Source organism: Homo sapiens, chromosome 17 (genome assembly GCF_000001405.40).
Source record: "Homo sapiens chromosome 17, GRCh38.p14 Primary Assembly".
Lineage (NCBI taxonomy): Eukaryota > Metazoa > Chordata > Mammalia > Primates > Hominidae > Homo > Homo sapiens.
The window spans coordinates 82,171,151-82,193,269 of record NC_000017.11 but is presented as its reverse complement, the minus strand read 5'-3'; the positions used below and the strand labels follow the sequence as shown (position 1 = coordinate 82,193,269).

Genomic DNA, 22,119 nt, shown 5'->3' with positions numbered 1-22,119 from the left:
ACCCAGCCTTGCTTTGGATTTCTGTTTATGCTCTGGACTTTCTCGGTGATGTTTAGACTTCTTAGTGCTGTAAAACGTAGAACTTGGACTAGGTGCAGTAGGAAGATCATGTGAGCCTGGGAGATTGAGGCTGCAGTGAGCCATGATTGTGCCACTGTACTCCAGCCTGGGCCATAGAATGAGACCCTGTCTCAAAAACAAAACAAAACAAAACACAAAATTTTTAACACCTGGCTGGGCGCGGTGGCTCAGGCCTGTAATCCCAGAATGTTGGGAGGCCGAGGTGGGTGGATCACTTGAGGTCAGGAATTCGAGACCACCCTGACCAACAGTGAAACCCCATCTCTACTAAAAATACAAAAAGACACTGTGTAATACAACGGCGATGGACAGTGACTCAGGCGATTTTTCTTGCATTTTTTATTGACATGATATTTGTGCAGTTGTATAAATCCAGAAGAACTTCAAGGACACTGTCTGTGCTGTTTCTAATCAGATCTGCAGTGGGAAGCTGCTTTCCAGCCTGCTCTGCAGACCCTACTGGTGGCAGCGAGAGAGGGTTGTGCCCTCAGCTGGCTCGCATTGTGAGGGCACCCATCCGGGTTCTCTACCTAGATGAGGAAACCGAGGCAGTCGAGCCCAAACAGACACAGTGCAGATGGCAGTGGTGCAGGACTGCTTGCTTAGCTGCACCGTGTGGCCATGATGAAGCTGGACAAACACTGTTTCTCTTCGTGTGTTTTTAAGTCTACACCTGGCATTTTTCAAAATCATAAATTGAAATACAGTTGATGCTTAAACAGTGAGGGGGTTAGGGGCATCTAGCCCCATGAGGTCAAAAATTCACATATAACTTTTCACTCCCCAAAAACTTAACTACTTAGAACCTACTGTTGACCAGAAGCCTTACTGATAACACAGTTCATTAACACACATTGGGCATGTTGTGTGTATCCTATGCTGATTCTTAAAGTAATGCTAGCTAGAGGAAAGAAAATGTCATTAAAATAATCACACAGCACTTTGGGAGGCTGAGTCAGGGGGATCACTTGAGGTCAGGAGTTTGAGACCAGCCTGACCAACATGGTGAAACCCCGTCTCTACGAAAAATACAAAATTAGCCGGGCGTGGTGGTGCACGCCTGTAATCCCAGCTACTTGGCAGGCTGAGGCAGGGGAATCACTTGAACTTGGGAGGTGGAGGTTTCACTGAGCCGAGACCGCGCCACTGCACTCCAGCCTGGGTGACAGAGTGAGACTCTGTTTCAAAAAAAAAAAAAAAAGTCATAAAAAAGTAGAATTAGGTTGGGCATGGTGGCCTACACCTATAATCCTAGTACTTTGGGAGGCCGAGGCAGGTGGATTGCTTCAGCTCTGGAGTTCAAGACCAGCCTAGGCAACATAGCAAAACCCCTTCTCTACAAAAAATACAAAAAATTAGCCAGGTGTGACAGCTCACGCCTGTAGTCCCAGCTACTTGGAGTGTAGAGGCAGGAGGATCACTTGAATCTGGGATGTGGAGCCTGTAGTGAGCCGAGGTGGTGCCACAGCACTCTACCCTGGGTGACAAAGTGAGACCCTGTCTTAAAAAAAAATCTTAGAAAATATGTTTACCGTTTGTTAAGTGGAAGCAGATCATCTTATAGCTCTTCATCCTCATCATCTTCACATTGAGGAGGTTGAGGAGGAGGCAGAGGATGGGCTGTCTCTGGAGTGGCAGAGGTGGAGGAGGTGGAAGGGAGGGCAGGAGAGGCAGGTACCCTTGGTGTAACTTGACAGAAATACATTGTAATTCCATTTGACTTTTTTACTTTTTCCTTCCTCTAAAAATGTTTCTATATGGTGCCAATCCCGCTTTAACACTTGAGTCTCAGTGCCCACGTCATAGACAGTTCCACGTGGTAAAAAGTCAAGGCAGGCGTGAGTGATGGGAGCCCTTCTGCAGGAGTGTCTGTCTGATGCCAGTTTCTTTTCTGGCACTGCTTCTTCTACATCTGTTTCCTCATCATCTGGCGCCGGTTCGGAAGCACTCATCCCCATTGAGTTGTCTCCCGTTCATTCCTCTGCTGTGGGGTCAGCTCTGGGGTTTCTCCAAGATCCATGCTGTGAAATCCTTCACCCCGCACCCTGACCTTTTTTTTTATTTTTTATTTTTTATTTTTATTTTTTTGCCGTATTACAACTCATGATTTACTTGATTGGCACCATTGGACATCCTGTGAAGTCAGGCACGACATCTAGACACAGCTTTCTTCATCAGGAATTTATTATTTGGGCTGGATGGCTTCCGTGGCTTTTTCTATAGCAACAATGGCTTCAGTGGTGGAAGCCTGCCAGGCTTTCAGGATGTTCTTCTTTCTGGGGGGTTTTCGGCCACAGCATTGACATCCTTTCCAAAGAGCGCCATGTGTAGTGAGCCTTAAGGTCCATATGGCCTCTCATAAAGGTTGAATTAGAGGCATTATGTCTGGGAGCAAGCAGACGACGTCAACACCTTGCTGTTGAACTCATGGGTTCTGGGTGGCAAGAGGCATTGTCCATTATCAAAAGATTTTTTTTTTTTTTTTTTTTTTTTGAGACAGAGTCTCGCTCTGTTGCCCAGGCAGATGGTGCAGTGGTGCAATCTCAGCTCGCTGCAACCTCTGCCTCTTGAGTTCAAGCTATTCTCATGCCTCAGCCTCCCAAGTAGCTGGGAGTACAGGCATGCACCACTACACCTGGCTAATTTTTGTATTTTTAGCAGAGATGGAGTTTGCCATGCTGGCCAGGCTGGTCTCAAACTCTTGTCCTCAAGTGGTCCGCGCACCTCGGCCTCCCAAAGTGCTGCGATTACAGGGGTGAGCACCACACCCAGACTGGATTAATGTGTTTTAGAATGGCCAGCAGCTGCAGACCTGTCTTGCAAATGCATGACTTTCCTCTGCTCACTTCCAGCATCACTGGTGGACCTTTGCATAGGTCCCATGGTGTTATTGAAGGTTTACAGTATTACACTAAACACAATGAGAAATAGGGAAGAACCTTGAGAAGTCACTCTATGCTGGGATATGAAGAACCTTGAGAAGTCACTCTATGCTGGGATATGAAGAACCTTGAGAAGTCACTCTATGCTGGGATATGAAGAACCTTGAGAAGTCACTCTATGCTGGGATATGAAGAACCTTGAGAGGTCACTCTATACTGGGATATGCAATTTACTGGAGAGACAAACTGCTCACACGGAGATGACTAGTGTCTCATCATTTTTTTTTTTTTAATTTGAGACAGAGTTTCACTCTTATCACCCAGGCTGGAGTGCAGTGGCGCAATCTCGGCTCACTGCAACCTCCGCCTCCTGGGTTCAAGTGATTCTCCTGCCTCGGCCTCCCCAGTAGCTGGGATTACAGGCGCATGCCACCATGCCCGGCTAATTTTTGTATTTTTAGTAGAGACAGTTTCTCCATGTTGATCAGGCTGGTGGTGCGATCTCGGGTCACTGCAACCTCTGCCTCCCGGGTTCGAGCAATTCTCCTGCCTCAGCCTCCCGAGTAGCTGGGATCACAGGGATGTGCTACCATGCCCGGCTAATTTTTGTATTTTTTTTAGTGGAGACTGGGTTTCGCCATGTTGGCCAGGCTGGTCTCGAACTCCTGACCTCAAGCGATCCACCCTCCTTGGCCTCCTAAAGTGCTGGGATTACAGGGATGAGCCACTGCGCCCAGCCAGGAATAATTTTAAATCATCCATCAGCTCATAATTGAATGAGCTTCTCCAACTTGGTGGAAGCAGACAGCTGGGGTTGGCCTTGCCAAGGGGTCTGAAACCCAGTCAGCAGAGCTGTTCACTCTCTCAGTCCCAGTAGGGTTAGATCAAAGACTTCACCGAGATGGCTTACATAACATTACATATACCTGATAGCACTCTGCTTAGTAGAACCTAATATGCTCAGAGGGTAGGAAATCAACACGTAAATCTTTTTAAATTTTTTATTTATTTAATACTGTTGCTAATGTGGTTTGTTTTTGAGACAGGGTCTCACTGTGTCACTCAGGCTGGAGTGCAGTGGCACCATCACGGCTCACTGCAGCCTCGACCTCCCACGCTCCGGTGGTCCTCCCACCTCAGCCTCCCGAGTAAATGGGACTATGGGCACCCGCCACCGTAAAGGCTAATTTTTGTATTTTTTTGTAGAGGGTGTTTTGCCATATTGCCCAGGCTGGTGGTCTTCAACTCCTGGGCTCAAGCTATCCACCTGCCTCGGCCTCCTAAAGTGCTTCGGTTACAGGCATGATCCACTGTGCCTGGCTGCTAACATAATATTTTTAAAGTAAAATCTTTTTGCCAGGCAAAGTGGTGTGGCCTATAAGCCCAATTACTTGGGAAGCTGAGGTGAGAGGATTGCTTGAGTTCAAGGCCAGGCTGGGCAACACAGCAAGACTTTGCCTCTAATTGGAAAATCAATAGGTGGGGTGCGGTGTGGCTCCGTAGACCTGGCTGGCTGCCAGGATACAAGGCAGTGTGCATCTACCTTTTTTTGCTTTCGCAGGTTGATCGGATCAAACCGTGCTCTATGCACCTCCTTTCGCAGGTTGATCGGATCAAACTGTGCTCTATGCACCTCCTTTTGGTGTCCTTCTCCAGGGGGCTGTGGGCTCTGGAGGGCAGGCCAGGGGCCTGGCATCGAAAAGTGGCTTGGTCCATGTTTACCTGCGAGGAATGAGGAACAGGTGGCCAGGTGGCTGCTGCGAAGCCTTGAGGCAGACATACAGCAGCACCTGTGCACGAGACAGGGCAATGAACGCCTCCAAAGAGGGTCTGGGGCCTGGGTGTTGGGGGCTGGGTGAGCGCCATGGGACACTCACTGTGTTTCAGGCATGAGGAGCTCGACCGTCTGGCCAGGGAGAAGGATGCAGTGCTGGTGGCGGTGAAGGGAGCCCACGTGGAGCAGCTGCAGGAGCTGCAGACCAGGGTTCTGGAGCTGCAGGCCCACTGCGAGACCCTCGAGGCGCAGCTCCGCAGGGCAGAGTGGAGACAGGCTGACACCGCCAAGGAGAAGGACGCTGCCATTGACCAGTGAGCGTGTGCTTGGCTCCACCCAGAGGGTGAGGGCAGGGACGGCCGTGGCTGTGCTGACCTGGGCCCACTGGTGCCAGACCACAGGAAAGGGGGCCAGGCAGCAGACAGAGTGGCTTCTGTAGCTCTCAGTCACTTTTCTTAACCACTCTTTTTTTTTTTTTTTTGCCTTTTCTTTATTTTTGAAATTGTGTAGTTTCTATGTGTGTGTGCATTCATCTATTTATAGTAAGATATGCATAACATAAAATTAGCCATTTTAGCCATTTCTTAGTGTACAGATCAGTGGCAGTGGCATTAGGCACATTCACGTTGTTGTAAAACCATCACCACTGTCATCTCCAGAACTTTCCATCTTCCCATTACACACCAACGCCTCCCCCACCCCCGCCAGCTCCCCAGCCAACCCCTGCCAGCTCCCCCCAGCCCCGCCAACTCCCTGCCCCACTCCTGCCAGCTCCCCCCGCAACCCCCGCCAGTTCCCCCAACGCCGAGCCCCGCCGGCTCCCCCCGACCCCCGCCAGCACCCCCCGCAACCCCTGCCAGCTTCCCCCGCGCCGAGCCCTGCCAGTGACCCCCGACCCCTGTCAGCACTCTCGACCCCTGCCAGCTCCCCCCCGAGCCCCACCAGTGCCCCCCGACCCCCGCCAGTGCCCCCCCGACCCCTGCCAGCTCCCCCCGAGCCCCACCAGCCCCGGCCACCTCCATTCTACTTGCTGATTCTATGGATGCGACCGGGCTGGGGACCTCCTGTAAGTTGGAATCATGCAGTATTTGTCCATTTGGGACTCTCTTATTTCACTTGGCATAATGTCCTCAAAGTTTGTCCACATTTTAACATGTGTCAGAATTTTTTCCTTTTCTCTGAATTTTTAAATTGTGGTAAAATACACATAACATAAAATTTACTATTGTAACCATTTTCCTCCTTTATTTCTTCTTTTTCTTTTCTTTCATCTTGACTTTTTTTTTTTTTTTTTTTGAGATGGAGTCTGGCTCTGTTACCGAGGCTGGAGTGCAGTGGTGCAATCTTAGCTCACCGCAACCTCCACTTCCCGGGTTCAAGCGATTCTCCTGCCTCAGCCTCCCAAGTAGCTGGCATTACGGGCATATACCACTATGCCCGGCTAATTTTTTGTATTTTAGTAGAGACGGGGTTTCACCACATTGGCCAAGATGGTCTCCATCTCCTGACTTTGTGATCCCCCTGCCTCGGCCTCCCAAAGTGCTGGGATTACAGGTGTGAGCCACCGCCCCCGGCCTCTTTTTCTTTTTTTGAGACAGGGTCTTACTCTGTTGTCTAGGCTGGAGTGCAGTGGTGCGATCACGGCTTGCTGTAGCCTTGACCTCATGGGCTCAAGTGATCCTCCCGCCTCAGCCTCCGCAGTAGCTGGAACCACAGGTGTGCACCACCATGCTCAGCTAATTTTTGTATTTTTTGTAGAAACGAGGTTTCTCCATGTTGCCTAAACTGGTTTCCAACTCCTGGACCCAAGTGATCCTCCCACACTGACCTCCCAAAGTGCTGGGATTATAGGCATGAGCCACCACCGATAGAGAATTCTCTGACAAATTGTATTTCTGTTTAAGGGGGAAATGGCTCTTAGAACTACACAGTACCAGGAAGTTAAGGGCTTATTCAGGATAGTTTCTCTAGATTCAGCATGCTGTGTTGTTGTTTGATCAGTCAGATTCAAGCAGAGTGGTTGAAGACGCCATGCATGGGAGGCACCTAAAGCCTCTGCGGTCGGTGTGCGGGGCGACCTCTGTGGTCGGTATACGGGGTGAGAGGGGCCGCAGGTGCTTCCATTTTCCATGTAGTGCGGCCGAGGTGACTGGGCGTCACCACTCCTGTGCGCCTAACCTTGGCCCCCCGTTGCAGTCTTAAGCTAAATGTTGTTCTTGAATGTCTTTTCGTTTTCTGTCCGTAAATACTCTTTGCTCATTGAGAATTATTACTACACATATGCAGTATTATTTTGGTAGTAAGAAACAGACTTCTACATTCTAAAGCTTGTATCTTTCCTCTTTTACTTCTGGGGAGTTCAGCTATCATTCGGATCCCATGATCCCAAGTATGAGCTGGCATTAAATGATGACCTCGGCTAGGCACAGTGGCTCACACCTCTAATCCCAGCACTTTGGGAGGCTGAGGCAGGAGGATCACTTGAGCCTGGGCAACGAAACAAGACCCTATGTCTACCCAAAGAAAAGTTAGACAGGTACGGTGGTGCTCACCTATAGTCCTAGCTACTCAGGAGGCAGAGCAAGACTCTGTCTCTAAAAAAATAATTTTTTAACTAAAAAAATAGAAATAAGTGACAGCCATATTTATTTCAGTTCCTTTTTTTCTTTCTTAAAATGAAGTAGAGATGGGGTCTCCCCATGTTGCCCAGGATGGTCTCAAACTCCTGGACTTAAGTGATCCTCCCATCTCAGCCTCCCAAAGTGCTGGGATTATAGGCATGAGCCACCGTGCCTGGCCAGCTTTGTAGTTCTTAATAGGTTTTTCAGCAGTTTTGTGCTGGTTTGGAGTTTGGAACTACAGAGAAAACCTGTAGGATTAACAGGAAAGCATTTTTTTCTTCCTTTTTTTTTTTGTGACAAGGTCTCACTCTGTCACCCAGGCTGGAGTGCAGTGGCGTGATCTCGGTTCACTGCAGCCTACACCTCCTGGGCTCAGGTGATCCACCCCCCTCAGCCTCCCAGGTAGCTGGGACTACAGGTGCGTGCCACCACACCCGGCTAATTTTTGTATTTTGAGTAGAGACAGGGTTTAGTCATGTTGCCCAGGCTGGTTTCGAGCTCTGGGACCTCAAGCAGTCTGCCTGCCTCGGCCTCCCAAAGTGCTGGCATTACAGGCATGAGCCACCATGCCCAGCCTTCTTTTTTATTTTAACCATCCCATTACGCAGAAGAAAGAGAAGACTGGAAAGCAGCAGTGCGATCATGGCTCACTGGAGCCTCGACCTCCTGGGCTCAGGTGATCCTTCCACCTTGGCTTCTCACAAAAAGCATTTACGCTCTTGTGGTGAGCAGTGCACTCCCGCTCGTGGCCGTGGTGTCCTCTGTCCCTGCAGTGAGGGCTCAGCAGCCGTGCCCATTGATCTACACCTGAGACTGTGCATCAGGGGAGACTGTCCAGGAGGCCCCAGGCAGAGTCACATCACCATCCTGATGCTGGGAGTGGGGCTGGCCCTCATAATTAGGTGGCTCATGGTCCAGGGATAAAGCTGCTTCCCAGAGCACCAGAGGCCGTTGGTGAGTCTGTTTCTTCAGTACCCACGCAAAGCGTGGAAGGAGTCCAAACACACATTCTGTGTCAGCCCACATTGCCAGAGATGGCTGGAAACGTTGATGCCTTTGATGGTGTCTCTTTTCAGCTGTCCTAAAATATGTGTCCAAAACTGTTGGCAGGGTGGCTTTTTTTCCATTCTATATAATACCAGGCTTGAGTGCACCACTCATGCTAGGTTTAACCCCTCGTGACAAGGGGTGGCCTCTGTGGGGGCAGCCAGCTCACCCTCTGCTTCTCACTGTCAGTTGGAAGTTCATCAGCACAGGAGCATCTGAAGGTCTGTCGTGTGTGATGCTACAGTTGCTCTTGTGGGCCGTCTTCCCATCTCTTAGGGAAACAGGGCTACGCCCATGCAAGTGGGCAGGTATCATCTTGCCTAGGTTAGTACTGTGGCTACCTGAGTTAACAGCTCTAGATATTGTCCCGAACATTTTCTTGGGAAATTTATTCCATTTTGGGTAATTCTCCCAGAGGCATCCTGCTGTTAAGGTTATTTAGTGGGTTCTGTAGAACCTTATTTTACCATGCAACTTGAAAATGTGCTGAATGTCTCTGCACGTGGGGTGCTGTGCTAGGCATGGCGAGGACATGAGGGTGACTTGGTCAGAGGTGTTGCTACCTCATGACTGTGGGCTCTGTGGGCATGGGAGGCATGTCATGCCTCACCTTCCGCCCACCAAGAACCTGGCACATGGCCTGGTGTGCTGCAGGAGCTTAGCTGGAATCTGGGTTGGTGGGATGCATGCATGCATGGAGGTAGTTGGGTGGACGGATGCTTAATTCTTCCTGTGCGGAACCATCTTCATCATCTAGGCCAGGAAGTTTCAGCTCGAGAGCTGTGTGTGTGTGTGTGTGTGTGTGTGTGTGTGTGTGTGTGTGTGTGTGTGTGCGCGCGCGCGCGCGCATGTGTATTTGCTGGGGGGTGCTGTGTAAGAGACAACTTTAGTGAGTGAGAACCACATCTACATAGTTTCCCTTCTATGTTTAGACTTCGTGAAGATGCATCAACTGTAAAATCTGCCTGGGATGCTCAAATTGCTCAACTATCTAAGGAGATGGTCTCCAGAGACCTTCAGATTCAGACGCTGCAGGAAGAAGAGGTGAAGCTCAAGGCACAGGTGGCCCGATCCCAGCAGGACATTGAAAGGTAACTGTCCCCAGGCAGATGTTTCCATTGAGGGTCTCCTATGGGCAGGTGCTGTTGTAGGTACTAAGGATTCAAAACTGAACAGATTGAGTCCCTGGCCTCACATTTTCTTGGGGGAGAAAGACAGTGAACAAGACAGATAGAATGTCTGGTCACGCAGGGGTGGTGTGGGAAGACATGCAGAAGGGGCCGCCTGCTGGAGGGAGCATGGCCAGAGGATGGTGTTTCTCAGTCTGTAATAAGAGCCATAAAGGTGCTCCTGCTTGATTCTGCACTAAGAATCTCCTCTTGCCAAGCGTGGTGGCTCACACCTATAATCCCAGCACTTAGGGAGGCAGAAGCAGGAGGATTGCTGGAACCCAGGAGTTGGAGACCAGCCTGGTTAACATAGTGAGACCCCATCTCTGCAAAAAGGAAAACAAAAACAAAGAATCTCCTCGTCTGTCTTGTCTGATTGTTCATGTCCTCATGTGTTTCTTATCCGTTGGGGCGAACACTTCCTTGAACAAAGATAGCATTCTATTTCCCATACACATTCAAGTCAACTTTATTACAGAATACATATGCTAAACTCATCCATTTTAACTCTACACTTGATGAATTTTGATGAATGTGTATGCTGTATGATATCATTTGGCTCTATGTCCCCCCCCAAATCTAATCTCAAATTGTAATCCCCATGTGTCAAGGGAGGACCCTGATGGGAGGTGATTGGCTCATGGGGGCGGTTTCCCCGATGCTGTGCTTATGATAGTAAGTGAGTTCTGATGGTTTAAAAGTGTTTGGTGGGCCGGGTGTGATGGCTCACGCCTGTCATCCCAGCACTTTGGGAGGCCAAGGCTGTCAGATCACTTGAGGTCAGGAGTTCGAGACCAGCCTGGCCAACATGGTAAAACCCCGTCTCTACTAAAAATACAAAAATTAGCCAGGCATGGTGGCTCACGCCTGTAGTCCCAGATACTCCAGAGGCTGAGGTGGGAGAATCACTTGAACCCAGGAGGCGGAGGTTTTGGTGAGCCCAGATCGTGCCACTGCATTCCAGCCTGGGCAGCAGAGTGAGATTCTGTCTCAAAAAAATGAATAAACAAATAAAAAATAAAATATAAATAAATGTTTGGTGGGCCGGGCGCGGTGGCTCACATCTATAATCCCAGCACTTTGGGAGGCCAAGGCTGGCAGATCACCTGAGGTCAGGAGTTTGAGACCAGCCTGGACAACATGGTAAAACCCCATCTCTACTAAAAATACAAAAATTATCCCGGTGTGGTGTCACACGCCTGTAATCCCAGCTACTCGGGGGGCTGAGGCAGGAGAATCACTTGAACCCAGGAGGCGGAGGCTGCAGTGAGCCGAGATGGTGCTACTGCACTTCAGCCTGGGCAACAGAGCGAGACTGGGTCTCAAAAAAAAAAAAAGGAAAAGTACCAATGCTGAAAGAAACATGTTGTAATAACGTTCTTAGCTCTTCCTTCCAGCATTCTTTTTTTTTTTTGTTAAATACTTCCATTGACTGAAATAAAACATCATGTATCTTCAAGAAAGCACATTTAGATTTACCTATTACTTGTGTATGTAGAAAACCCTCATAATATGAACTAATGCAGAAGAAAAAAAACATGCTGTGATAATGTTCTCAACTTTTTTTCTTTTTTTTTTGAGATGGAGTCTCACTCTGTCACCCAGGCTGGAGTGCAGTGGCGCAATCTCAGCTCACTACAACCTCCACCTCCTGGGTACAAGCAGTTCTCCTGTGTCAGCCTCTAGAGTAGCTGGGATTACAGGCATGCGCCACCACGCCTGGCTAATTTTTGTATTTTTAGTAGAGACAGGGTTTCACCATGTTGGCCAGGCTGGTCTTGAACTCCTGACTTCAGGTGATCCACCTGCCTTGGCCTCCCAAAGTGCTGGGATGACAGGCGTGAGCCACCCCGCCTGGCTTATGTTCTCAACTCTTGATTCCAATGTTCCTTCTTCGTTAAACTCTTCCATTCACTGAAAGAAAACAGCACATATTACAATATTTAGACTTTTTTATACATTTAATTTCTCTCCTCATTATGTGCACGGTTGCCTTTAAATCTCTGAACTTATTTGTAATAGCTGCTTAAATGTATTTATCTGCTAATTCCATCATATCTTTATTTCTGAGTCTGTTTCTATGGGCTGATTTTTCTACTGGAGAGAGCTACATTTTTTTCTACTTCCTTGCCCATCTGGTAAGTTTTCACTGGATGTCAGACATGGTGAATATGATGTTGGCGAGCATCTGGTTTTGGCTGTGCTGTTTTTTGTTTGGCTGCAGTTAAGTATTTACATGGCAGCTTGACCCATTTGAGACTTGTTTAAAATCAGTGCGAGGGCAGGTGGGGCAGGTCTAGAGAAGCCTTTTCACCAGGGCTGACTCAGCACTATGACTCCCAGACCCCACTGCGTGCCCTGGAGCGAGAGCTCCAAGGATGCTCCGCCGGCCGCCCTGACGAGCTCTGGGAATCAGCGCACGTGGAGCCCCGTGCTGGCTGCTTCGTTCCCACGAGTTGCTCTTGGCCCAGCCGGTGTTGGCTTCTCCTGTGTATTTGCATGTGGCTGTCAGCCACAGCTTCTAGGGGATCCCTGCACAGATCCCAGGTTCCCCTCCTCTCTGCCCCTCTGCCTCATAAAGCCCATTTCAGCCACTTCAGCTTCTCCAAACTCCAACCTTCATCTCCTCGTCACAGCAAGACCACCGTGCTCTGCGTGGTTTGCCGTCCCTGCGGGGATCCGGAATGGCCTGTGGAGAGAAGCCGGGCGGCGAGTGGGCCCATCTCGCGAGGACCTTCTCTGAGGGGCCTCAGCCCCGCACCGCTCGTGTGTTCATCGTTCGCTCTGTGAAAGCCGTGCCCCATTTACTGCCCAGTGTCCCAGTTGTTTAAAGTGGGAAGATAGGCATGGTGACAGCTGCTGTGTTGTGTTAAAGATTTATTTATTTTTGCAGTTACAGGGATTTAAAAATGTATCTGTGGGGCTGGGCCCAGTGGCTCACGCCTGTAATCCCAGCACTTTGGGAGGCCGAGGCGGGCGGATCACGAGGTCAGGAGATCGAGACGATCCTGGCTAACACGGTGAAACCCCGTCTCTACTAAAAATACAAAAAATTAGCTAGGCGTGGTGGTATGCACCTGTAGTCCCAGCTACTCAAGAGGCTGAGGCAGGAGGACCACTTGAGCCCAGGAGGTGGAGGCTGTACTAAGCCAACATCACGCCACTGCACTCCAGCCTGGGTGACAGAGCAAGACTCTGTATCCAAAAAAAACCTAAAAATAATTAAACAAAACAAGAACACATTGTGTATAAATTACCACAAACTTAGCAGCTTAGCTGCTTTAAACACCCATTTATTATCTCAGGTTCTGGGGCCAGGGCCTGGGCAGGGCTCAGCCATTCCCGGCTCAGGGTCTCTCCAGGCTGGAATCAATGATGGCCAGGCCTGCCTCTCCTTGGAGGCCCAGGGTCCCTTCCAGACTCACCCAGCTGTTGGCAGAATTCAGTCCCTCCAGCTGTGGGGCCAAGGCCTCCATTCCCTCACTGTCTGACAGCCAGGGTCACTCTGCACCCTAGCGGCGTCCTCAGTCCTGGCCACGCAGCCCCTCCAGGGACCCTCTCACAACACGGTGGCTCAATTGCTATCATTCGAACTCCCTGAAGTTTACCGGTGCAATGAGGCCAGCAGGAGAGTCTCCCTCCAGTCTCACGCAGAGCCATGCCACCATCTCTGTGTCGCTGCCTGGGACAGGAGGGACCTCTCCCCCGTCACAGGATCACCCACAGCCTGGAATTCTGCCCCCAGTGTGTGGCCCCATGGCCTTCTGTCCCAGAGTTGCTGGTGTAAAGCCTAGTCCTAGTCCAATTCTTGTTCTTTTTTCCTTGTAGACTCTTCTTTCGTCCTTCATACTATAACGTTTCCCCTTACTGTGTGCGTGTGGGATCTCTAGAGCTCTCTGAAGGCTGGCGTTTGCTCTGTCCTGGTGGACCTGCCCCTTTACATCCTTGGTGGTTTCCTCCTTCCATTCTCATCTGTGCGCTGGTTTTCTGGAGGAAGCCCCCGGGTTCCTGCGTTCCCACCCCTCTGTCCCTTTGCACTCGCTCGGGGGGCTCTCCCATCCCCGCCCGCCCCGTGGCTGGGTCCACCCTGCTCTGCACTTGCTCTGGGGGCTCTCCCAGCCCTGCCCACCCCGTGGCTGGGTCCACCCTGGTCTGCTTGTTTGCTTTCATAGCTCCGTTCCTTTGTGCATAACCGCGTTTATGATCTTTTAAGGTTGTTGCTTTCCTCCCTCTCCCTGCATGCTGGCTCTTCTGGTTTTGTGGGCATCACCCTCATCCATGGTGTTGGGTTTTCTCCGGCATCTGGGCATCCTTGGCGCCTGCTCGTCTTTGTATTGGGCGTCCCAGTGTGCCCATCCACAGGAGCTCGGGAGCATGTCAGCCCAGCGCAGGCCATGCGAGAGCAGGAGGGACAGCGGCAGCCCTGCCTTTCCCATCGTGCCTCTGCTTTTCCTGTGGAAGGGACCTCAGGAAGCATTAATGCTGAGCGGTTGGACGTGTCCTTAGGTACAAGCAACAGCTGTCCCTGGCAGTGGAAAGGGAGCGGAGCCTGGAGCGTGATCAGGTGCAGCTGGGCCTGGACTGGCAGCGCCGCTGTGATGACATTGAAAGGGACCAGATCCAAAAGTCAGAGGCCCTGATTCAGGGTCTGAGCATGGCAAAAAGTCAGGTGTGTGCGGCCACCAGGGCCTGGGGCCTTCTCGGCGTCTCTGCAGAGGTGGGGCTGGGCAGGACGGGTCTGGTTCTTACCAAATGGTTCTTTAAATTTGAAAACACTAAACCTCACTGAGTAATTAGAGTAATAAATTAGAGTAATAAAAATGCACCCCGCCTGTCCACCCGCCTTGACTTTCTTGCATAAGCTGTTTCTGTAGTTGACCAGCCGCGTGGTTTGAGTAGCGCTGCATGATCCCCGCTGGCCTGCAAGGGCAGCCTGGGGTATGCATGGGCAGGAAGGGTTTGGCGGCCTGGCCACAGTGGGGAGCCTGGTGCTCTGAGCATCTCCCACCTATGTGTGCCATTGGAGCCTCAGCAGGCATGGGAGCTGCCCGGTCATCCACACAGGGACTGAGTCCCAGCGTTTTTCCCAGGTTGCTGCCAAGCTGCAGGAGACAGAGCAGGCGCTACAGGAGCAGGAGGTGGTGCTGAAGGCCGTGACCCTGGAACGAGACCAGGCCGTGCAGGCCCTGAGGATGCATGGGCTCCCCAGACCAGGGGCACAGGTGAGAGTACCCAGTCGGCTCTTTGAAACTTTGCTCAACAGCAGCGGTGGGAAAATAGGACCAGATCCCCAAATCCTACCAAGACTGGAGCTAAGTCTTTCAGTTGTGTTCTTTTTAAATGACCTGTTGCACAAACAAGGGTGAGTCAGAAGCTTTAGAGAGTTAAGGTGAACTCAGGCTTCTTTGTATCTTTCATATTCGAAAGTTTTAAAAGTCCCAAATCCACATATAACTAGATATCAGACGTTCATGTGAGTTTGTTCTTATGATATTGCCTCAGGACTGTCACAGCAGGTCATTTTATGCTAGGAATCTGTCATCACCGCTCCTGATTTTGTTGAGCAGTGACGTTAGTGGCCGATAGTTAAGTACTCATCCAATGCCAGGGTTTGCCCTTAGGCCTTGAAATCCCTCCACTCATTTCATCTTGGAGGTTGGCACCATGTCCGCTGAGACATGGGGACACTGAGGAGCTTGTCTGAGCTGTCACAGCTCATCAGAGCAGAGCTGGGTCCACAGGCAGAGGGAAGCGGGGTGCAGGGCTGTAGGAGGCTGGGGGAGAGCACAGAGGGCCCAGCACGGGAGGACTGCCCTAGGCCTGCAGTTGGCTTTTTTCTGTGGGCTATTGTACACACAGTAGAACGCGCAGGCCTGGAGTGCACAGGTCAGTGCAGCCGACATGTAAGTGTGCCCAAGCACCCCCACCCCAACAAGACCACCCAAGAGTCCCTGCCCCTGCTGGTCCCACCTCCCCGCACTAAGCGGCCAGCCACTGGTGCGCATTCTCTCCCATTCAATTTGCTTCTCTGCCTTGAGGCTTGGCTTAAGGCAGCCGAGTGTACTTAGGACTCAGATCCTAAGTGGTATGAAGAATGTTCCTAGCTCGTCCTTCATTCATGTAGTTTTTACTTATTTATTTTGAGACACGGTCTCGGTCTCGCTTTGTTGCCCAGGCTGAAGTGCAATGGTGCAATCTCAGCTCACTGCAATCTCCTCCTACCCCTAGGCTGAAGCAATCCTCCCGTCTCAGCTGCTCCAGTAGCTGGGACCACAGGTGCGCATCACCACGCCTGGCTAATTTTTGGAGTTGTTTTTTTTAGACAGAGTTTTGCTCGTGTCACCCAGGCTGGAGTGCAGTGGTGTGATCTCTGCTCACCGCACCCTCCGCCTCCCAGGTTCAAGTGATTCTCCTGCCTCAGCCTCCTGAGTAGCTGGGATTACAGGCATGTGCCACCATGCCTGGCTAATTTTTTGTATTTTTAGTAGAGACAGGGTTTCTGCATGTTAGGCTGATCTCGAACTCCTGACCCAGGTGATTCGCCTGCCTAAGCCTCCCAAAGCGCTCAGATTACAGGCATGAGCCACCACGCCCGGCTAATTTTGTATTTTTAGTAGAGATGGGGTTTCTCCATGTTGGTCAGGCTGGTCTTGAACTCCCGACCTCAGGTGATCTGCCCACCTCGGCCTCCCAAAGTGCTGGGATTACAGGCGTGAGCCACCATGCCCGGCCTGGTTGCTAATCTTAACTTTAGCCAAGGCAAATGCCAATTCAGTTACTTACCTAGGGATAGGTCTCAGGCTAAAGACTGCTCTCTACCATCCTAGAAGCAGGAAAAAAAAAAAAAACCCTCATCTTCCCTGTTGGAAGTGAGTGCAAACTCCATAAAGGAGTTACCTGCCTTCCATCATCATGAAGCAGGAGAAACTTGCCTTCCTTGTTGGAAGCAAGTAAAACTCCAAAAAAAGGGAGTTGTACCGTTGGGGTGATCAGACCCAACACCAGGTCATGGGGGCTACGAAGTCCAGCAGAGTCAAAGGAATGAGACAAGAGTACATAGGGTGGGTCCAGGGGGCCCACGCTGGTGTATGGAGGCTGCAAAGGCCCCCAGCTCTGGGAGCCCACACTGTTTATTGGTAATCAAGTAAAGAAGCAGGTAGTGAGGACGTGTGGCTGTGGGGGTAGACAGGTGAGGGCGTGAGGACGTAGGGGTAGAAAGGTAGCGGTGCATCAAGCGTAGCTGTGACGGTTTCGCATATGCTCCGCTACTTGAGGTAAGGGAGAACAGGTTCTTCTAATTCAAGATAAAATCAATTTATGATCTTGGGAGAGCAAGGAGCAAGGGGCCAGCAAGTCTGGACACAATTCCAGAGGCTAGAAGGGGTTTTATGCCCTGAGCCCTGGGTTCTTTCCAAGCCACGAGGGGTTTTATGCCCTGAGCCCTGGGTTCTCTCCAAGCCACCAGGGGTTTTATGCCCTGGGCCCTGGGTTCTCTCCAAGCCACGAGGGGTTTTATGCCCTGGGCTTAGACTGTAGTGCGGCAGGGCAGCCTTCCACCCATTGGCACAGAGCTTGGTGTTCCAAAGGTCATGAGGGGTTTTAGACTCTGGACCCAGGACATGTTCCAAGACTCTTTTACATTATGTCAGACAAGCAAGCCCCGCCTCAGCTCTTCTGCCAACATTGTACAGCAAAATAAACTTTAGATCTTGACCAAATTTGGGGAGATCAGGGATTCTCTGGAGGGGATGCTCCCAGACCTCGGCAAATTGTCCTGTTGGTTTGAGCCATAAAGTTAGCTCATTCCAGTACCAAGTACCGATAGGAGTTTTGTCAAAGGTCAGAGGCATCTCCACTCAGAATCTCCCTGTGGTTACCAAAATGTGAACCCAGAAAATCTCAGACAGGTCTCAGTTAATTTAGAAGGTTTATTTTGCCAAGGTTGAGGATGCGCACCGGTGACACAGCCTCAGGAGGTCCTGACGACGTGTTCCGAGGTGGTCAGAGCACACCTCGGTTTTACACATTGTAGGGAGACAGGAGACATCAATCAACATATGTAAGATGAACAGTGGTTCCATCTGCAGAGGCGGGACAACTCCAAGTGGGGAGGAGGCTTCCGGGTCATAGGTAGGTAAGAGACAGATGGTTGCATTCTTTTGAATTTCTGATGAGCCTCTCCAAAGGAGGCAGTGAGATACGCATTCATCTCAGTGAGCAAAGGGTGACTTTGAATAGAATGGGAGGCAGGTTTGCCCTGAGCAGTTCCCAGCTTGACTTCTCCCTTTAGCTTAGTGATATTTTCCTTTCACACTGCCGAGCCCTCTGAGCCTTGCTTGCCGCTGTGGTGGGCCTGCTCAGCCAGTGAGGCCAGGCAGCCAGCACCCTCAGCGCGTCCTGGGACATAGCCTGGTAAGCCTCTGGGCACTCGGTATCCCGCTCTGTAACTGGCCAGGTGGAGCACGGCCTTCCAGGGTCTACCCCTCATGCGACTGTTTCTCCAGGAGAATTCTTTCTTCCTTTTGGTTCTACCATAAATATTTTCCCACGCCATTACAATTCTTCACGAACAGAATCTAAATGGCTGCATGTTTTATCAAGCGGCCACACCATAACGCACCTAGCGATTTTCTTACCAATGGTCCTTCATGTTGTTCGCCATTGTGATCACGGCACTGCGGTGGGCAGTTTCCTGTTGTTGTACCCAGGCGAGTTAGAGAAGACGCCACACTCTGAAACGAATTGAGTCCTTTATTTAAGCCGGCAGCCAAAGAGACGGCTAACGCTCAAAATTCTCTCGGCCCTGAGGAAGGGGCTTGATTAACTTGTATACCTTGGTTTAGGAAGGGGAGGGGAACTCAAAGGCAATAATTCTACAGAAGTAAAAACATGCAAGAATCAAAAGAAGCAAATGGTTACAGAGCGATAAACAATTTAAAAGACAAATGGTTACAAAAAGCAACGGTACCAGGTGCAGGGCTCTAAATCCTTCATTATAGTTAGACATAGATGCTATGCCGGACACGAACTCAAGGCTTTATGTTGTTATCTCTTTGAGAAGAATCCTGGGAACTTCAGACGTTGTTGGTGCCAGTACCTTATCAGTTAATTGGGCTCCTTTGAAATGCTGAGGATCTGCTTACACAGGTCAACTCCTTGCGGAAGGGGGTTGGGTAAGGAGCCCTTAGTGTCTTGTAAATTAAGGGGTCAGTTGGAGTTTGTCCGGCTTTCCCAGCTAGAGAGAGTCTTATTTACATGAGAAACAAGGCTAGGTGATTAAAGAGACAAACAGGGCAAAATTTAAAGTAGCGAGTTAGAGTAAAAACAGGGTTAGGCATCGCACTGTCTCCGTTTCTAAACTGCCAGTTGAGGTGCAGGTTCTGTTCGCATCCTCTCCACCCCTGAGCGCAGCGTGTGAAGCTCTCCTCCTGGGAGCCCAGGCCAGCTGGCCTTGCCAGGGAGCACGGAGGAGCCAGCGGGCAGTCAGAGCGTCCTGGGAAGGGCCCAGATCTTGCTTCAGGTTTGTGTTCATGGAGTGCAGAGTAGGGAGCAGGCTCTGCGTCCCTCAGGGTGGCTCCACAGGAGAGGAAGCTGTGCCTTTTGCACACATCTTGGCTGGACTCAAGGTTGAGTTGGGCCAGACCCTGGGACTTTGTTTCCCTCTCCCGTATCTGGGGTCTATGCTGGCGTCTGGAAGCAGGTGTTTCCTCTAATGTGTCTGGTGTTCTAGTTGTTCACAGCCGCAGGGAAAGACTCATGGCAGTGAGTCCCTCCTGGTCAGAGGCAGAAGCGCCCCTCACCTTTGGTTAGAGAAGGACACTCCCTCTCCCTAGGAACTGGGTGGGCGGGGCCTGTCTCTCCTCCTGCACCGGAGCCACCTCACCTCGTTGTCCTCCCGCCTTGGTGGCTCCTTGCGGGGTCTGTCATCCCTATGCCTGCCCTTTGACCCTAGGGTAACATGTCTCTTTTCTCGGGTTGCTTTTAGAGTTTCCATTTTGTTGCTGATTTTTCAGCAGCTTGATTATGTGCTGTTTGGTATGATTTTCTTTCTGTTTATCCTGCTTAGGGTTCACTGAGCTTCGTCATCTGTGATGTCGGCTTTCAGCTCATTTGCTTCGTCATCTGTGATGTGTGGCTTTCAGCACATTTGTAACATGTCTGGCCTTGTTGTAGACGCGTCTCCTGTCTTTGCGTTCATCTGGGCTCCTGGTTCCTTGTGCACCTTGTTCATGGTCTCCAGAGCTCTGCTCATTTTTTCTTCTTTGGCACCTTTCCTTCTGAGCTTCAGTTTGGGTATTTTCTGTTGCCAGGTGTTTATATTCACTGCCTTTTCTTCTGCGCGCTCTGAACCTGCTCTTCATCCTATTTAGTGGATGTTTGATTGTACTAAAGTATACATAACGCAAAACTGGCTGCTTTAACTATTTTTTGGTGCACACAGTTCAGCAGCATGAAGCGCATTCACACGGAGGTGCAGCCATCACACCACCCTCTCCAGAACATTCTCATCTTTCCATACTGAAGCTCTGTCCCCAAGAAACACTGGCTCCCCCTCCCCGCCCACAGCCCCAGCACCCCCATTCCACTTTCTGCCTCTGTGGATTGGACACTCTAGGGATCTCAAAAGTATGAAAGGCTCCAGGAATTTGAGTGTCATATTTGCACTTCTGTCAGAAAGGAGGGGCATCACAGCCTGGGGATGGGGAGGGACCACAGCCCAAGCTGAAGCGGGGGACCGGCCCGAGAGGGGCGCGGGGAGAGCGGAGGCACAGCCTGTCAGGACAAGCTGGGGAACCATTCATCTTTTTGTAGCCATTTTTCCTTGTATTTGACAGATGCTTCTCAGGCAGCATGAAGAAGAAATAAGTAAAGACTTTCCATCCAGTGAGATCCAGCGGCTCCGAGAGCAGAACACGAGCTTGCGAAACGCGATTGCCCAGATGAGGAAAGAAATGGAGGCTCTAAGCCATCAGATTCCTCCTCCCATCCAGACAGCGGCAGAGAGCACAGATGCAAACCAGCCTGACCCAGAGGCTGGGGGAGATGCCGCCACTCCTGGTGAGTAAGTGGGAGAAACGGACAGAGCGGGAGAGGAAGGGGGAGAGGGAGGGAGGAGGACAGACGGGAGCATGGGTCTTGACTGGCTTCAAGGAGGCTTCATTTCAGAGTCCTATAAGTTAACATCCCCTGTAATAAACTCAAAGTATGAAAACTGCTTTTTCTCCAAGAGAAGGGATCTTAAGTTTTATACCAAAAAGCTTTTATATTTGTAAAGTGGAAGGAAAAAATGAGGGTACCTGCTTGACACACTTAAAAACCTGTTTTAGACCTGGACCAGGGCTGGCTTGCTGTCGCGCTGTCCCAGAATGGGTTGGTAGCAGGGGCTGGTGGACCTCAGTCCTTTCCTCCAGAGGAGCGTCTGTGGCAGAGCTGATGAGGGCCTCCCGACCCCCAGGGACCCCATGAGTGGCTGTGGGTGGGCAGATGCCGGGATGGAGGCAGAGCTTCCGTTCTCGAGATGGGACTTGGCCCCTCTGCACAGAGGCACGTGGGCTGGCGGCAGGTGGAGCATTTGCTCCTGATCACTGAGCCCTTCCTGGAGAGCATGGAGACTGTGCTGGTCTCTGGCTGGCACACTCTGGCCAGTGAGGGGAGGGAAGGTCTTTCAGTCTGACACACACAGAGAGTGTGGAAACTACGGTGAAGCTGTAGTGTGAGGAGGACAGGGACAGTGAAGCTGGCGGGCATGAGCTGGCATCGGCTCCCTGAGCTGGTGCTCACAGGAGGGAGGTGCGAAAGGATGCTGTGTATGTGTTATATTCACTGGAGGTTTTTTTGGCAGATTATGTTCTGGCCCTTGAAGCAGAAATACGAACTCTAAAGCATAAGTTTAAAACTCTGGAAAAGCATCTAGAAGATGTGTTGGATCCTTTAAAGATGTCCTCACCTCATGCTGAGTCTCAGCCCAGCGTCCGCACCTCGACAGAGACGACTGGTAAGTCCGCGTCTCAGTGGGGTACTTGCTGTCCCCTTATAAACTGAAATCTGACCCCTGCAAAAGTCCGCTCATAGCAAATATACAGCTCAAGGCTACTGCAGACGTTGGGGCGGCGTCATCCAGCCCAGCAGCCCCTTGTGCTCCCTCCAGAGCCCACGTGCCCTGGCTCCTCACTGCAGTCAGCGTTCCCTGTTTTGGTGTGAATGGAATTCCTTGTGCTCCCTCCGGAGCCCACGTGCCCTGGCTCCTCACTGCAGTCAGCGTTCCCTGTTTTGGTGTGAATGGAATTCCTTGTGCTCCCTCCAGAGCCCACGTGCCCTGGCTCCTCACTGCAGTCAGCCCTCCCTGTTTTGGTGTGAATGGAATTCCTGGAGCTACCTCCAGAGCCCACGTGCCCTGGCTCCTCACTGCAGTCAGCGCTCCCTGTTTTGGTGTGAATGGAATTCCTCGCGCTCCCTCCGGAGCCCACGTGCCCTGGCTCCTCACTGCAGTCAGCGCTCCCTGTTTTGGTGTGAATGGAATTCCTTGTGCTCCCTCCGGAGCCCAC

The 22,119-nt window shown here is 50.9% G+C and overlaps 1 protein-coding gene across 39 annotated transcripts in view, besides 4 other annotated features; it reads left to right on the top strand.

The window, feature by feature from the left end:
- The window catches only part of CCDC57 (coiled-coil domain containing 57), a 111,373-nt gene that overhangs the window by 19,573 nt on the left and 69,681 nt on the right, over positions 1-22,119 (top strand). For 33 of the 39 annotated variants that reach the window (XR_001752485.3, NM_198082.4, NM_001394669.1 and 30 more), the window contains 6 exons: positions 4,851-5,051; positions 9,338-9,496; positions 14,081-14,243; positions 14,665-14,796; positions 20,410-20,632; positions 21,417-21,569. Coding sequence is in view for 37 of the 39 variants with exons in the window: in NM_198082.4 (NP_932348.2) it covers positions 4,851-5,051; positions 9,338-9,496; positions 14,081-14,243; positions 14,665-14,796; positions 20,410-20,632; positions 21,417-21,569 (1,031 nt within the window). In the remaining 2 variants the exon portion in view is untranslated. Of the gene's footprint in view, positions 1-2,742; positions 2,837-4,850; positions 5,052-8,222; positions 8,313-9,337; positions 9,497-14,080; positions 14,244-14,664; positions 14,797-17,515; positions 17,705-20,409; positions 20,633-21,416; positions 21,570-22,119 lie in introns of those variants that run through there. The other 6 variants (XM_047435777.1, XR_007065291.1, XM_011523557.4 and 3 more) reach the window with 6 other exon arrangements.
- Positions 11,655-12,621: an enhancer, noted in NCBI's record as "H3K4me1 hESC enhancer chr17:80138525-80139491 (GRCh37/hg19 assembly coordinates)". NCBI's record gives its function as "activates a minimal SCP1, AML or CMV promoter by ChIP-STARR-seq in primed H9 embryonic stem cells {active_cell/tissue: H9 hESC(primed)}" and the evidence as "EXISTENCE:reporter gene assay evidence [ECO:0000049][PMID:30033119]".
- Positions 12,622-13,589: an enhancer, noted in NCBI's record as "H3K4me1 hESC enhancer chr17:80137557-80138524 (GRCh37/hg19 assembly coordinates)". NCBI's record gives its function as "activates a minimal SCP1, AML or CMV promoter by ChIP-STARR-seq in naive H9 embryonic stem cells {active_cell/tissue: H9 hESC(naive)}" and the evidence as "EXISTENCE:reporter gene assay evidence [ECO:0000049][PMID:30033119]".
- Positions 17,347-18,136: an enhancer, noted in NCBI's record as "NANOG-H3K27ac-H3K4me1 hESC enhancer chr17:80133010-80133799 (GRCh37/hg19 assembly coordinates)". NCBI's record gives its function as "activates a minimal SCP1, AML or CMV promoter by ChIP-STARR-seq in naive and primed H9 embryonic stem cells {active_cell/tissue: H9 hESC(naive and primed)}" and the evidence as "EXISTENCE:reporter gene assay evidence [ECO:0000049][PMID:30033119]".
- Positions 18,926-19,716: an enhancer, noted in NCBI's record as "OCT4-NANOG-H3K27ac-H3K4me1 hESC enhancer chr17:80131430-80132220 (GRCh37/hg19 assembly coordinates)". NCBI's record gives its function as "activates a minimal SCP1, AML or CMV promoter by ChIP-STARR-seq in primed H9 embryonic stem cells {active_cell/tissue: H9 hESC(primed)}" and the evidence as "EXISTENCE:reporter gene assay evidence [ECO:0000049][PMID:30033119]".